The 13,856-nt window shown below is 48.4% G+C and overlaps 1 long non-coding RNA gene across 1 annotated transcript, besides 2 other annotated features; it reads right to left on the bottom strand.

Annotated features, from left to right (window-relative positions):
- Positions 1-1,925: 1,925 nt before the first annotated feature.
- On the bottom strand, positions 1,926-8,132 carry LOC124904530 (uncharacterized). Its single transcript, XR_007066909.1, has 2 exons — positions 7,987-8,132; positions 1,926-3,311 (listed from the first exon to the last, which is right to left on the bottom strand). It is a non-coding gene; the product is annotated as an uncharacterized LOC124904530 (long non-coding RNA).
- Positions 7,450-7,744: an enhancer, noted in NCBI's record as "tiled region #12356; K562 Activating DNase matched - State 5:Enh, and HepG2 Activating DNase unmatched - State 12:CtcfO". NCBI's record gives its function as "activates a minimal TATA promoter and a strong SV40 promoter by Sharpr-MPRA in K562 cells, with weak activity in HepG2 cells {active_cell/tissue: K562 | HepG2}" and the evidence as "EXISTENCE:reporter gene assay evidence [ECO:0000049][PMID:27701403]".
- Positions 10,584-10,723: an enhancer, noted in NCBI's record as "active region_2672". NCBI's record gives its function as "activates an Ori minimal core promoter by ATAC-STARR-seq in GM12878 lymphoblastoid cells {active_cell/tissue: GM12878}" and the evidence as "EXISTENCE:reporter gene assay evidence [ECO:0000049][PMID:35858748]".

Raw genomic sequence — 13,856 nt, 5'->3', positions numbered from 1 at the left:
AAGAAGGGGACGGGCTTACGCTCCACTGTAAGAGTTACCTGAAGTGTCTGTGATGGTGCAGGAGGCTTCCAAGGCGATCGGGCAGCGTCAGTCTTCAGCCACTAAGCCAAGAAAATCTGGGAAGGAGTCAGTCAGAGAGCCTTGGGCCAGAGTTCCAGGGGCTCTGGGAGTGGCTGCCAGGTGAATTGGACAGTCCTATTTCCAGTGGGGCCTGCACAGATGGGACATGGCTTAGGAGGAATCCCCGGCTGCAGGCATTCTTTGGCCCAGCGGCCAGATTTCCAGCACTTGAAGCAAGATCCTGGGGCAGGAGGTCCTGGAGGAACGCCTGGCCATTGTGGTTTAGGCGTTTTGAAGTTCTTGTGTGCTGGAGATGTGGCTGGAGTTTCTCTCACAGCAGAGACAAGTAATTGCAACTCAGAAATATGTTGCTGCTTGGCTGCCTCTTCTCTATTATTGTACACCTTGAAGGCGAGGTTAATTAAGTCCTGTTATGGGGTTTGAGGGCCGGAATCTAATTTTTGCAGCTTTTTCTAATATCGGGAGCAGATTGGGTAATAAAATGCATATTGAGAATAAGACAGCCTTCTGGCCCCTCTGGGTCTAGGGCAGTAAAACATCTGAGGGTTGTTGCCAAATGGGCCATTAACTGTGCTGAGTTTTTATATTTGATGAAAAAGAGCCTAAACGCTAACTGATTTAGGAGAGGTCGGATAAAGAAAATGGAGCATTAACCTTGACTACGTCTTCAGCTCCAGCCATCTCTCTAAGAGGAAATTGTTGGGCAGGTGGGGGAGGGCTAGTCGTGGAACAAAACTGTAAGTCAGACTGGGTGTGAGGAGGGGAGGTGACAGAAGGATTATAGGGTGGGGGAGTGGAGGCTGAGGAAGAATTGGGACCTGGCTTGGCCTGGCGAGGAGCAGCCTCGGGAGGAGGGGAGAGGTCAGATGGGTCCATAGAAAAGGATTCAGAGGACTCAGAGCTTGGGGTGGAGACTGAAGGAACAGACAAGAGAGAGAAAGAAGAAAGATTTGGGATGAGTTGCATTGAGAGCAGAGACTAGGGAGGGACCGATGTGTAAAGAATCCCTGGACGTCAGGCACCTCAGACCACTTGCCCATTTTACGACAAAAATTATCTAGATCTCGTAGGATGGAGAAATTGAAAGTGTTGTTTTCCGGCCACTTGGAACTATTTTTGAGTTTGTATTGGGGCCAAGCGGTATTACAGAAGAAAATAGGACATTTAGGTTTTAGGTCAGGTGTTAGTCAAAGGGGTTTTAGGTTTTTAAGAAAACAGGCTAAGGGAGAAGAAGGGGGAATGGAGGGTGGAAGGTTGCCCATAGTGAAGGAGGTAAGTTTAAAGAGGAAGGTAGAGACATGGAGAAGTGGTGGGGGAGGTGGGGGATGAGCAGCCCTGGGCTGTAATGTGGGTGAGCAGCCAAAGCAGGCGTCCCCATAATTGACCTGCCACCAAGTGAGTGTGGGTGAATGATCAAGGCAGGCGTCCCCACGGAGATCAGACACCAATGGAATGTGGGTGAATGATCAAGGCAGGCGTCCCCATGGAGATCAGACACCAAGGGAAGACTGTCTTCCCAAATCCGTGACTGACGTTGGAGTTTTTGAGTTCACAGATAAAATGTGTCTCCTTTGTCTCTACTACAGAGGAAAAAGAACTGGAATTGGAAGGATAGGGAGATTGAAGGGTAGCAAGAGAGGCTGGAGAAGAGAGTGAAGAGACCACTTAGCTGATTTGAAATTGGCAAGATATTCCTTGGGCTGGTCTGAGGACCCAAGGTCATATGTGGATCTCCTCACGGAGTGAGGGTGAGGATAGGGGGCCGGTCTCCCAAAGGAGTCCCCCGTCCCAGGTTTCGGCACCAAATGTTACACTTGTCTGTGTGAAGAGACCACCAAGCAGGCTTTGTGTGAGCAACAAGGCTGTTTATTTTCACTTGGGTGCAAGTGGGCTGAGTCCAAAAAGAGAGTCAGCAAAGGGAGATAGGGGTGGGGCAGGTTTATAGGATTTGGGTAGGTAGTGGAAAATTGCAGTTAAAGGGGATTTTCTCTTGCAGGCAGGGGCAGGGGTCACAAGGTGCTTGGTGGGGAGCCCCTGAGACTCACTGTCCAGGAGAAGGAATGTCACAAGGTCAATTGATCAGTTAGAGTGGGACAGGAACAAATCATAATGGTGGAATGTCATCAGTTAAGGCAGGAACTGGCTATTTCACTTCTTTTGTGGTTCTTTAGTTGTTTCAGGCCATCTGGATGTATACGTGCAGGTCACAGGGGTTATGATGGCTTAGCTTGGGCTCAGAGACCTGACAGTCATAAACCCATAAATGTAAATATAATGTTTCCCTGAGTTCTGTGAGCTGCTCCAGCAAATTAGTGGAACCTGAAGATGGAGCCATGGGAACCTCAGTTTATAGCTTAATTTAGAGCTGTTCATTGAAGGACAGGTTAAAGAACTTGGGGCTTCCAATTGGCTTTGAAAGTCGGGGGGCAGTCATGGAGACTGATCCCTCACCCTGCAGGATCTGACACTCAGGTGGATAATGTCAGAATTGAATTGGAGAATACCCAGTTGGAGGACCAAGTGGAGGTCCACTGCAGAATTGATTGTTCGCTCGAGGTGTGGGGAAAATCCTCCCCACAGCTGGTGTCAGAAGTGTGTTATGAGGCTATAATGGGAGAAACTGAGTTTATTTCTATATTCTCAGAGTTGGTTGAACTAGGACCCCTTACCCCTGATGTAATTTTCCACCCACCCAGCCTCACCTTGCTCTTTGCCTGTAGAGTCCCAGTTGCTTATGCTGTATTCTGAATTGAGCCCACTTCTATACTGAGGACCTGTTTCCCCTACTGCAATGGTCCTGAATGAAGTCTCCTCTTACCATGTTAACTACCACCCGGCTCTGGCATTTCCTTGACAGCAGCACTGCCTGTGGAGGTTGCTCTGAGGGGGCTCCTCTGGTTTGGACATAGGGTTCCTGCCAGGCTGTCATTACGGCGGCCTCCCTAGTTCATGGCCCCGCTGCCCCTGAGCTAGGGGTTTGTGATTGGGACCACGCAAGGCACTGGACACTAGACGTGAACGTCGCTCACAGGTTTCCCTGCTGCTGGAAAGTGAAAAACAAACGATGTCAAGCCTGTGTCTCCATTTCCACATTCTTTTTTTCCAAATTTGTTGTCCTCTCCTGCCTGTACCTGATGGTTTCAAGGATGAGTGGTGGTGACACTGTTTTTAGGGGTGGAAAGAACACACATTTATCTCATTCGTAGCTTCTTTCACCACAATTTCCAAGCCTAAAAAAAAAAACAACAACACTTTAGGCCGGGCACAGGGCTCACACCTGTAATTCCAGAACTTTGGGGAGGCTGAGGCAGGCGAATCACCTGAGGTCAGGAGTTCAAGACTAGTCTGACCAATGGTGAAACTCCATCTCTACCAAGAAATACAAAAATTAGCCGAGCATGGTGGCACGTGACTGTAATCCCAGCTACTCGGGAGGCTTAGGCAGGAGGATTGCTTGAACCCGGGAGGCAGAGGCTGCAGTGAGCAGTGGAGTGGAGGTTGCACTCCGGCCTGGGAGACAGAGTGGGACCCTGTCTCAAAACAACAACAACAAAATAACCACATTCCTGCCTGGATGATTCAGAACAGGAACAGTGATTCACCTGGATCCTAGGGGAGGGCTGAGTTCCCTCCTTCTTTGAACCATCTTCCTTCTGTCCCAACTTTCTCCTCTAGGCCCCCAGTAATAATCCCTTCAGAACAAAGGTCCTAAAATGTTTATTTGCCTTTGCTTTCCTCTTTCTGCCTGTGCCATCCTCCCTGACTTTGTCTGATAAGCATTCTTTCTTGTGTACTTTTATTTAAAATTGTTTTTGAAATTCCAAATGATTTCATGTTAATATAAAATACTTAAAAATATATATCCCCAAATGACTATAACTCCTATTGATGACATTTCTAAATGCGCAGTACTCTCTGGTTATTAAATTACAGTCCCTTTCTAGCCTATCTGTCCCTCCGCCTTTTGTTTTTTACTTTATTTATTTTAAAATTTTAATTGTGATAAAATACACATAAAATTTACTATCATAACCATTTTAAGTGTACAGTTTTAATAGTATTAAGGAAATTTACATTATTGTGCAGCCATCACCACCATCCATCTCTAGAACTTTTTAAAGAAAATTATTAAACATTTTTTTTTTTTGAGACAGGGTTTTGCTCTTGTTGCCCAGACTAGAATGCGATGGTGCAATCTCAGCTCACCGCAACCTCCGCCTCCCGGGTTCAAGCAATTCTCCTGCCTCAGCCTCCCAAGTAGCTGGGATTACAGGCATGCGCCACCACTCCCTGCTAATTTTTTGTATTTTTAGTAGCGACAAGGTTTCTCCATGTTGGTCAGGCTGGTCTCGAACTCCTGATCTCAGGTAATCTGCCTGCCTCAGCCTCCCAAAGTGCTGAGATTACAGGTGTGAGCCACCACGCCCAGACAAATTATTAAACTTTTTAAAGAGCAGTTTAGTGTCACAACTTTTAAAGGAACAGTTTTAGGTTCACAGAAAAATTGAGAGCAGAGTACAGAGTTCCCATGTGCCCACTATCCCCACAGGTGCACAGATCCCCTGCTTGACATCTTCCACCAGAGTGCTGCACTCGTTATGATCAGTGAACCTACACTGACACATCATTATCACTCAAAGTTCTCCAGAACCTTTCATCTTGCATAACTGAAACTCCATCCCCATTGAACAATAACTCCCATTCTCTTCCCCCCAGCCCCTGGCAGCCATCATTCTGCTGTCTGTCTCTATGATTTTCATGACTAGGTATGTCATATAAGTGGGCTCACACAGTATTTATCTTTTTGTGTCTGACCTAAATTACTTAGTGTAATGTGTTCTCAAGGTTCATCTGTGTTGTAGGATTTGTCAGAATTTCCATCCTTTTTTTTTTTCTTTTTGAGACAGAGTCTTGCTCTGTTGCCCAGACTGGAGTACAGTGACACAATCTTGGCTCACCACAGCCTCCACCTCCCAGATTCAAGCGATTATCCTGCCTCATGTCACCATGCCCGGCTAATTTTTGTATTTTGAGTAGAGACGGGCTTTCACCATGTTAGGCAGGCTGGTCTTGAACTCCTGACCTCATGATCCATTCACCTTGGCCTCCCAAAGTGTTGGGATTACAGATGTGAGTCACCGTGCCAGCAGAATTTCCATCTTTTTTTTTTTTTTGAGACAGAGTTTTGCTCTTGTCGCCCAGGCTGGAGTGCAATGGCATGATCTCGGCTCACCGTAACCTCCGCCTCCCAGATTCAAGCGATTCTCCTGCCTCAGCCTCCTGAGTAGCTGGGATTACAGGCGCCGCCACCATGCCCAGCTAAATTTTTGTATTTTTAGTAGAGACAAGGTTTCACTATGTTGGCCAGGCTGGTCTCGAACTCCTGACCTCAGGGATCCACCCACCTCAGCCTCCCAAAGTGCTGGGATTACAGGCATGAGCCACCATGCCCGGCTCAATTTCCATCCTTTTAAAGGGCAAATCATATTCCTTTGTGGGTATACACCACATTTTGGTGATCTGTTGTTCTGTTGAGGGACATTTGTGTTGCCCCCACCTTTTGGCTATTCGGAATGATGCTGCTATGAACAAAGGTGTGCAGCTATCTCTTTGAGACTGTGCTTTCAATTTTTGTAGTTACACACTCAGAAGTGGAATTGGGGCCGGGCGCAGTGGCTCACGCCTGTAATCCCAGTGCTTTGGGAGGCCGAGGCAGGCGGATCACATGAGGTCAGGAGTTTGAGACCAGCCTTGCCAACATGGTGAAACCCCGTCTCTACTAAAATACAAAAATTAGCCGGGCGTGGTGGCAGGTGCCTGTAATCCCAGCTACTCAGGAGGCTGAAGCAGGGGAATCGTTTGAACCTGGTAGGCAGAGGTTGCAGTGAGCCAAGATTGTGCCACTGCACTCCAGCCTGGGCAACAAAGCGAGACTCCGTCTCAAAAAAAAAAAAAAAAGAAAAAGAAGTGGAATTGCCGAATTGAATGGTCATTCCATTTTTAATTTTTTGAGGAACTGACATACTGCTTTCCACAGCAGCTGTACCATTCTACGTTTCCATTAACAGAGGACAAGAGTTCCAATTTCTCCATCCTCACCAACACTTATTTTCTTTCTTTCTTTAGTTTTTTAATAGTCACCATCCGCATGGGTGTGAGGTGGTATACACTTTTGCTTTTTAGCTTTTATTAAAAGCCTGGTGTCTTTCGGCCACAATCCTTTTCTTCAAAGCCTAACTGGGCACTTCAGTGTTCAGCTGTATATTTCCTTTCTCGAAATATGTACAGTAGGAGTATGTTTTCTCTCTGACTTAGGGAAAACTGAGTTGATGTCTTCAGGTGGGGGAACAATTAGCCAGCAGAGACATCTGCCCCCTCAGAGAGTGCCTGGAATGATTCAGCCAAATTTTCTGACTTGCAAGGGGTCCTTTTCTGCTATTAAGGCTCCTGAGCACCCATCCCAAAGTTGTATGTTCCCCCAGAGAACAGCTTTCCCAGATGGAATCTTGGTGCAGCTGTCGGAGGTGCTTGGGTACCCTTCCAGGTTATATGTTATGTGCATGTGAATTTAGTGATAGGAACCTTGGTCTCACTGAGAAGTAATGAAAAGGGTCTAAAGTCTGTGATGCTAGGCCAGGGGCAGTGGCTCACGCCTGTAATCTCAGCACTTTGGAAGGCCAAGGAGGGTGGATCACCTGAGGTCAAGAGTTTGAGACCAGCCTGGCCAACATGGTGAAATCCTATCTCTAATAAAAATACAAAAATTAGCCGGGCATGGTGGTGCGTGCCTGTAATCCCAGCTACTGGGGAGGCTGAGGCAGGAGAATCACTTGAACCCAGTAGGCAGAGGTTGCAGTGAGCTGAGATCACGCCATTGCACTCCAGCCTGGGCGACAGAGCAAGACCCCATCTCAGAAAATAAATAAATAAGTAAATAAGTAAAGAAATAAAAGTCGGCCAGGCGCGGTGGCTGACGCCTGTAATCTCAGCACTTTGGGAGGCCGAGGCGGGTGGATCACGAGGTCAGGAATTCAAGAGCAGCCTGGCCAAGATGGTGAAACTCCGTCTCTACAAAAAATACAAAAATTAGCTGGGCATGGTGGCAGGCGCCTGTAATTCCAGCTACTCAGGAGGCTGAGGCAGAGAATTGCTTGAACCCGGGAGGCGGAGGTTGCAGTGAGCTGAGATCGTGCCACTGCACTCCAGACTGGGTGGCAGATCAAGACTCTGTCTCAAAAATAAATAAATAAATAAATATAAAAATCTGTGGTTATAGAAGGTAATCATTATTACAACATTATACATTACAGCAATGTATCCTACAATTACGTTGAAGTTCGTAAAACACAAGTGGCACAATTTTTCCTTTTGGAGCCTCAGTCAGGGGTCTTGAGGCGGTGTCCCCAGGGGCACACCCTTTGGTTTCCGCCTCGGAGTGCTCAGCCCCAGCCCAGTGCCTCTGACCGGAGACCAGGGCCGCGAAGCAGCTTGTCTCCCGCTAGAGGGCGCTGGGCTCCTTGGTTCAGATCGTCTTCGGGACTCCAGGGAGGCCTCTGGCTCTCTTCCGGTTTGACTGGGCCTCCCGGGCTCTATTTTTAGGCCTCTGTGTTGGCCTTGGGCGTTCAGACCTGGAGACCCCGCTGAATCAGGGAATAGCGTAGTCTCTCACAGGATATGAGTGGTGACCCCTCAGGAGTCAGGGTCCCTGTGAGGGTGGGGTCACCGTTCACAGAGCACCCAAGGACCACGCAGGGGAGGTGGAGGGGGGGAAGAAGGCCTTTTTCTCACGTTTCGAGATTCGTTCTCACATTCGTTCTCAGACTTTGTTCTCACATTCTTTTTCAAAAGGAAAATAAAATTTTAAAAGAAAAATGCTAGGGACCAAAGAAAAACGTATTCATCTACCTTGACTTCTCCTATGGTACTTCCTGAAAAGTTGAAAATTGTGTGGGAGGCGCAGGAAGCCATCCCTTCTGCTTCCTCACTTGCTGGTGCGACCTCCTCGCAGCGTTTGGGCTCTGCAAGCTTTCAGCGGCACCAGTTCTGAGAGCAGGCGCCCAGGCCCCACCCTCAGCGCTTCCCACTCCATAGAGCCGGGTGTGGCCCAAGAATCTGCCTTTTTTGGCAAACACCTCTTTGGAGTCTCAGGCGGGTAATCCTCAAACCACACTTTGAGGCACTTTCCACGGGGCTCATGTCCTCTGATGCTGTTTGCTTACTTCTTACAGTTCTCACAGAAATTTTACACTCCCAGTAGGAAGCCTCCATGCAGGAATTCCACACGTTTTAGTATTTTAGACTACCGGTTCCTTCTCCTCTGTGCGAGTCCCCAGGCAGGCCCTATCCTGAGTTCTGAAACGTGGTGGTGTCTTCAGCAACCCCTCAGTTCTAACCCCTGCTTCCTCAGTTCTAACCCCTGCTCCCCATTCCCGACCCTCAGCCTCCTACTTCTGATGCTCCGGGGCTGCCCTGAGCCTGGCAGCCTTCTAAATTTCTTTCATTTATTGCACTGAGCTCTTGGAAGAAATCTTCCCTCCTGCGATAGAAGCCCTTAAGTAAGAGTCTGGCTTTCCGTCTCTTTCCCTAGTATCAGGGTCTCACTCAACTCCAACTCCAGACTCACAAACGCACACATGCTGTGTAGCTGCAACAACTGTGACTGTTCCCCAGGCATACTCCGGCAGCTAGACAACAGCTAATGTTCAGGTTTGTGCAGTGCGTCCTGCTTTGATGGTGCTGGGTAAAAGCTGAGGTCACCGGGCCTGGCGGCTCATGCCTGTAAATCCCAGCATTTTGGGAGCCCGAGGCGGGAGGATCGCTTGAGCCCAGGAGTATGAGACCAGCCTGAGCAACATAGGGAGACCCCATCTCTACAAAATAAATAAATAATGTAGCTACGCATGGTGGTGCGGGCCTGCAGATCCAGCTATTCAGGAGGCTGAGCTGGGAGAATTGCTTGAGCCCAGGAGGTTGAGGCTGCAGTGAGATGTGATTGCACCACTGCACTCCAGCCTGGGCGACAGAGGGAAACCCTGTGTCAAAAAAAAAGCTGAGGTCAACGGATTTAGGAATCAGTCATTACCCCACCCATGTCTGAGACAGCTGGGAATAGAACATATTGAGCAAAAATCCACTTTGGAGGCCGGGCGCAGTGTCTCACGCCTGTAATCCCAGCACTTTGGGAGGGTGAGGCGGGTGGATCACGAGGTCAGGAGTTCAAGACCAGCCTGGCCAAGATGGTGAAACCCTGTCTCTACTAAAAATACAAAAATTAGCCAGGCACGGTGGCGGGCGCCTGTAATCCCAGCTACTTGGGAGACTGAGGCAGGAGAATCACTTGAACCCGGGAGGCGGAAGTTGCAGTGAGCCGAGACCGCACCATTGCACTCCAGCCTCGGCGACAGAGCGAGACTCCATCTCAAAACAACAACAACAACAACCACAACAAAATCCACTTTGGAGAATTTGATGCAGAGATGACAGGTAATTGGGAGAGGGGCTCCTGGCACCTCTGAGACTGACACAGATGGTATCTTTAAGACACACAGCTGGACAAACTACTGCCTCTTCAGCGTGTATGAGAATGCCGGCAGAAGCAGACATCTAATTTCCTCCACTTCCCAGCTTTGATCACCTTCTTGCTCAATTTGCATGCTAATTACTAAGTCTCTGGTTAGCAGCCCCTAGCTATCTGCCCTAGGTCTGCTGTCAAGCTCTCACATCAATTCTGTCACCAGTTTGACTCAACTATCAGGGTCAGCCTCTTGGAAGGGCTACTCCCGAGCCTACAGTCTGAGAGGCCACCCCACCCGCCCCCATTCAAGTATCAACTCCCCAGTGCCAATGGCAGCCATCAAAGAGAGCTGTCTGTCAGCACAGAGAGGTCTGGGGTTGTAGGAAGGGGGCTCACAAGTTGGCCTGGCCCTAAAGAAGGTAGGTACCAGGGCCCAGGTTTCAGACCTTGGTCTTGCATGCCGAGAAACTCTATTTTGTCCATGGCTCTGTGGTGCGGGGACTCAAGAAGCTCACAAGAGAATGATGCATAAAGCCATCACTTAAAATGAGAAATAAGATCAGATATTTGTGTCCGCATGACCAACCAAACAGGCAGGGGCAGGGCGCCGGGGGCTTTCCTTGGTGGTCATGGGTCAGAACAAGTATGGCAAGAGGTAGATTCCAGTGGAAATGGCACGGCTCTCTGCCTGCATTCAGTCAGCCAATACTCAGCTGGAATCTTCCCCATGGCTACACCAGTTATTAATGACTGGCATCTGTTCAAATTTGTCAGTGTCTTTGCCACATCAGACCAACTGTTGTAATATCAGTTACATATTATTGCCATCACCTTTAACAATAGGTGCACATACACCTGCTGGAAGAGTTGGTTTTTAGTAGGCTGACAGCATTGTCTCTCCCCTAGACTGACTACACAATTCCTTAGGTGAAGTCCTGATTAGATAAGTAAGCAACAAGAGGAAGGGGCCCCAGGTGGGGAAGAACAATGAACAATCATTCTGAGAAACACAAATCAGAATCACAAACAATGGCCTGTTCTGGGGGCACAATGTCCTCATTCAGCACATAGCCCCCTCCAGCACGGCCCTGTAAAATTTCCCTCCAGGCCCCCACCTCTTGGCAGACAGACGCTTCTCTGCTGTGCTGCCCATTGCAACGTTGCAAGGTATTTTCATACTTCCTCTTATAATCCGCCTTTCTTTACCTACAACTGTCTTGGTAAATTCCTTTACCACCTGCGACCATGGCCCCAGCTAGTCGTACCCGTGCCATATTACACTTTAAGAGGTTCTATTCATTGGTTAGCTACCAGCACCTAGCACATAGTAGATGCTCTATGGCACAAATCAGCGTTCATGATGTTGAGCTCAACCGACTGCTAATGCCTGGATGGACTCTGCCAGTTTGCCTCCATGCTTCCCTTTTCCGAGCCTCCATGGTTGACTACTCTCAAAACTGTGACATTCTTTCCTTGCATCTGCCAGACTCAGGTGACCTTGCTGGCTCAACAATGAATATTTTACTGAGCACTTATTATATGCCAGGCTTTGGGGATATGGCAGTGGATAAAATAGTCACAGTTCCTGCCTGCTAAAGTCTCACATCTGAGGATGGAGTTAGGCATTAAACACAGGAGATGAGGAATGTGGATGGAGAAGGATCCAGGCTGTGGGAGCACGTGGGAGACGGATGGGGTAGTCTCCTGGAGGAAGTGATGTTTCAGCTGAAGTATCAGTGAGTTGGGGGAAGGGAAAGGGGACAGGGGAGGTGAGAAGATGAGTAATTCGGGCACAGCAAACAGCCTTTACAAAGACTCACATATGGGAAAGAGTAAGTTGGGTTGGCACAGCAGGAACGGAAGAGGTGGGCCAGAGATGAGATGAGGATTGGGAGCATGGTGGCCAGGGGAACGCACCTTGTAGACCTCTAACTCTGGGCAGCAAAATTGACCAGGGGCTCCTGCCACTCACACCAAAGCCAGGCTTCCCCTAGGGACAGAAATCCTTTGTCGCTAGCTTTGGCTCAAGGATTCCATGGTGGTTTGCTGAACTTTCCTTAGACTTCAGGGTCGGCAGACTACGTCTACCCTCCACTCTCACCTTCCCCTTCCTGTGGGGCCAGACTCACATCACACTGGATGGGTCTCCCAGACTCCTGCAGCTCCCTTCCACATTTCTGTCACAATTTCCCCAGAAAAAACCCTTGCATGCAGGCGTGGTGGCACACACCTGTAGTCCCAGCTACTGAGGAGGCTAAGGCAGGAGAATCACTTGAACCCAGGAGGCAGAGGTTGCAGTGAGCCGAGATTGCGCCACTGTACTCTGTGTCTGCTTCTGGGAGGATCTGAACTAACACAGGAGGCTTTACCCTAATGGTACTGTAAAGCCATTGAAGAGCTTTAAATGAGGAAGTGACATGATTAGATTAAAGCTCAGTCTGGCTGCTGGGTAGAGAATTTGACAGAGGGGACCAAAAGTAGGGGCGGGAAGGCCCATTTGGAGGCTGTTACAGTGATCCAGGTGAGACGGCTTGGAGTAGGGTGTGGGAGAGGAGATTTTAAGCTGTGGTTGAATATGGGAGATACTTAGGAAGAAAAGATGGCACTTGGTGTTGGATTGAATGTGGAGTGTGAGGGAGGAATTGAGGATGATTCTAGGATCCTGGCTCATGGTACAAGAGGGAAAAAGCTAGAGTTTGGGAGTTGTATCCAGCTCTGCTTAGGGAAAAATGCAGAATCTGGCCTGTAGAAAGGTGAGTTCTGTTGTCAGTCAGGATGGCTCACTGTCTTCCCTGCTACCTGGGTGAAACACCCCTTGGCAACACCCACCGCCAAGTTCATGTTCATGTTCATGTTCACCGAACAGCATTCTGATTGTTCATTTGGCCACACAGGTGTTCAAACACCAGGCAGACCCTTCTGGAAAGGAATAGTGCCTGATAAAAAGGAATAAATGAATTCATTGGAATTCCAGTTTATCCGACAATGTCGCCGGTATCTAGTGGTTCCAAGCTAACATCTCCAAGTCTGAGATACTGGCAAGGATGAAGCCCAGACTCTGGTAAACTCACCAGAGGAACTCTGGTCTCAGGGCCTTTGTGTAGACAGCCAGCTGGCCTTCCTTAGAGACACACCAGGGCAGGCTGAATAATGACCCCGAATATGTCCACACCCTGAATCTCTGGAACCTGTGACCATGTTACCATATAGGGGACTGTGCAGGTGTGATTGAGTCAAAGACCTTGAGGTGAGGGGGCTCATCCTGAATTATCTGGGTGGGGCCAATGTAATCTCAAGGGTCCTTATAAGAGGGAGGCAGGAGGATCTGAGAGAGTAATAGGAGATGTGATGACTGAAACAAGAGGGGCCATGCAAGGAAGGGGCCAGGAGCCAAGGAATGCAGAAGGCCCCAAGGAGATGAAAAGACAAGGAAACATTCTCCTAGAACCTCCAGAAGGAATGCCAGCTTGCCCACACCTTGGATTTGGCCTAGCAAAACTGATTTTAAAATTCTGACCTCCAGAACTACAAGAGAATAAATTTGTGCTGTTTTAAGCTACTGAGTTTGTGATAAGTTGTTACATCAGCAGTAGGAAGCCAGTACACTCCAGCTGCACCATCTCACCTTTTTAAAAGACAAGTAGCAGATTAAATATATATATCCCTATTATATTGTATATTATATATAATATATATATGCCTATTTTTTGGCCACAGTAACTAAAATGAGGGAGCCATGTAGAATAAGCATGTGTCATATTTGCGTATGCTTAATATCTTTTGAATAAATTCCTTTCCTATTTTTAGGCACTTCCAGGCCATGCTGCGTTTCCCAGTATCTCTTGCAGCTAGGACACAAACACTTGACCTGGGCCTCCCCACCATCATATGCACCTTAGTGAGAAGGCCCCTGGAGGATTCCTCTCCCAGGGGCTCTGTGGAGCAGTCACTGAGATCTCAGGGGCAGCAGGGGCAGAGGTCCTGGCTGTGGTGTCCCATCTCAGTATCTAAAGTGTGCACCTGCACTCAGCAGTGGTGGGAGGATGATCTGGGTATTGTTCCAGGCTGTAGAGCCTTCAGGCCTGATTTGCTGGCCTTTCTGGAAATCCTGTGAGCCACACAGTATCCTTCTATGAATCTGTTTGCTACTTAATCTTGTACTGTGGATTCTTTCATTTGCCACTAAGAACTCTGACTGATACATACCTTATGGCAAGGTTGTCAGTGTTAGTGCTGGAAGGTGAAGCATTTTGCTTTTCCA

Source organism: Homo sapiens, chromosome 1 (genome assembly GCF_000001405.40).
Source record: "Homo sapiens chromosome 1, GRCh38.p14 Primary Assembly".
Classification (NCBI taxonomy): domain Eukaryota; kingdom Metazoa; phylum Chordata; class Mammalia; order Primates; family Hominidae; genus Homo; species Homo sapiens.
The sequence above is the reverse complement of the archived record's forward strand: the minus strand, read 5'-3'. Positions and strand labels throughout refer to the sequence as shown.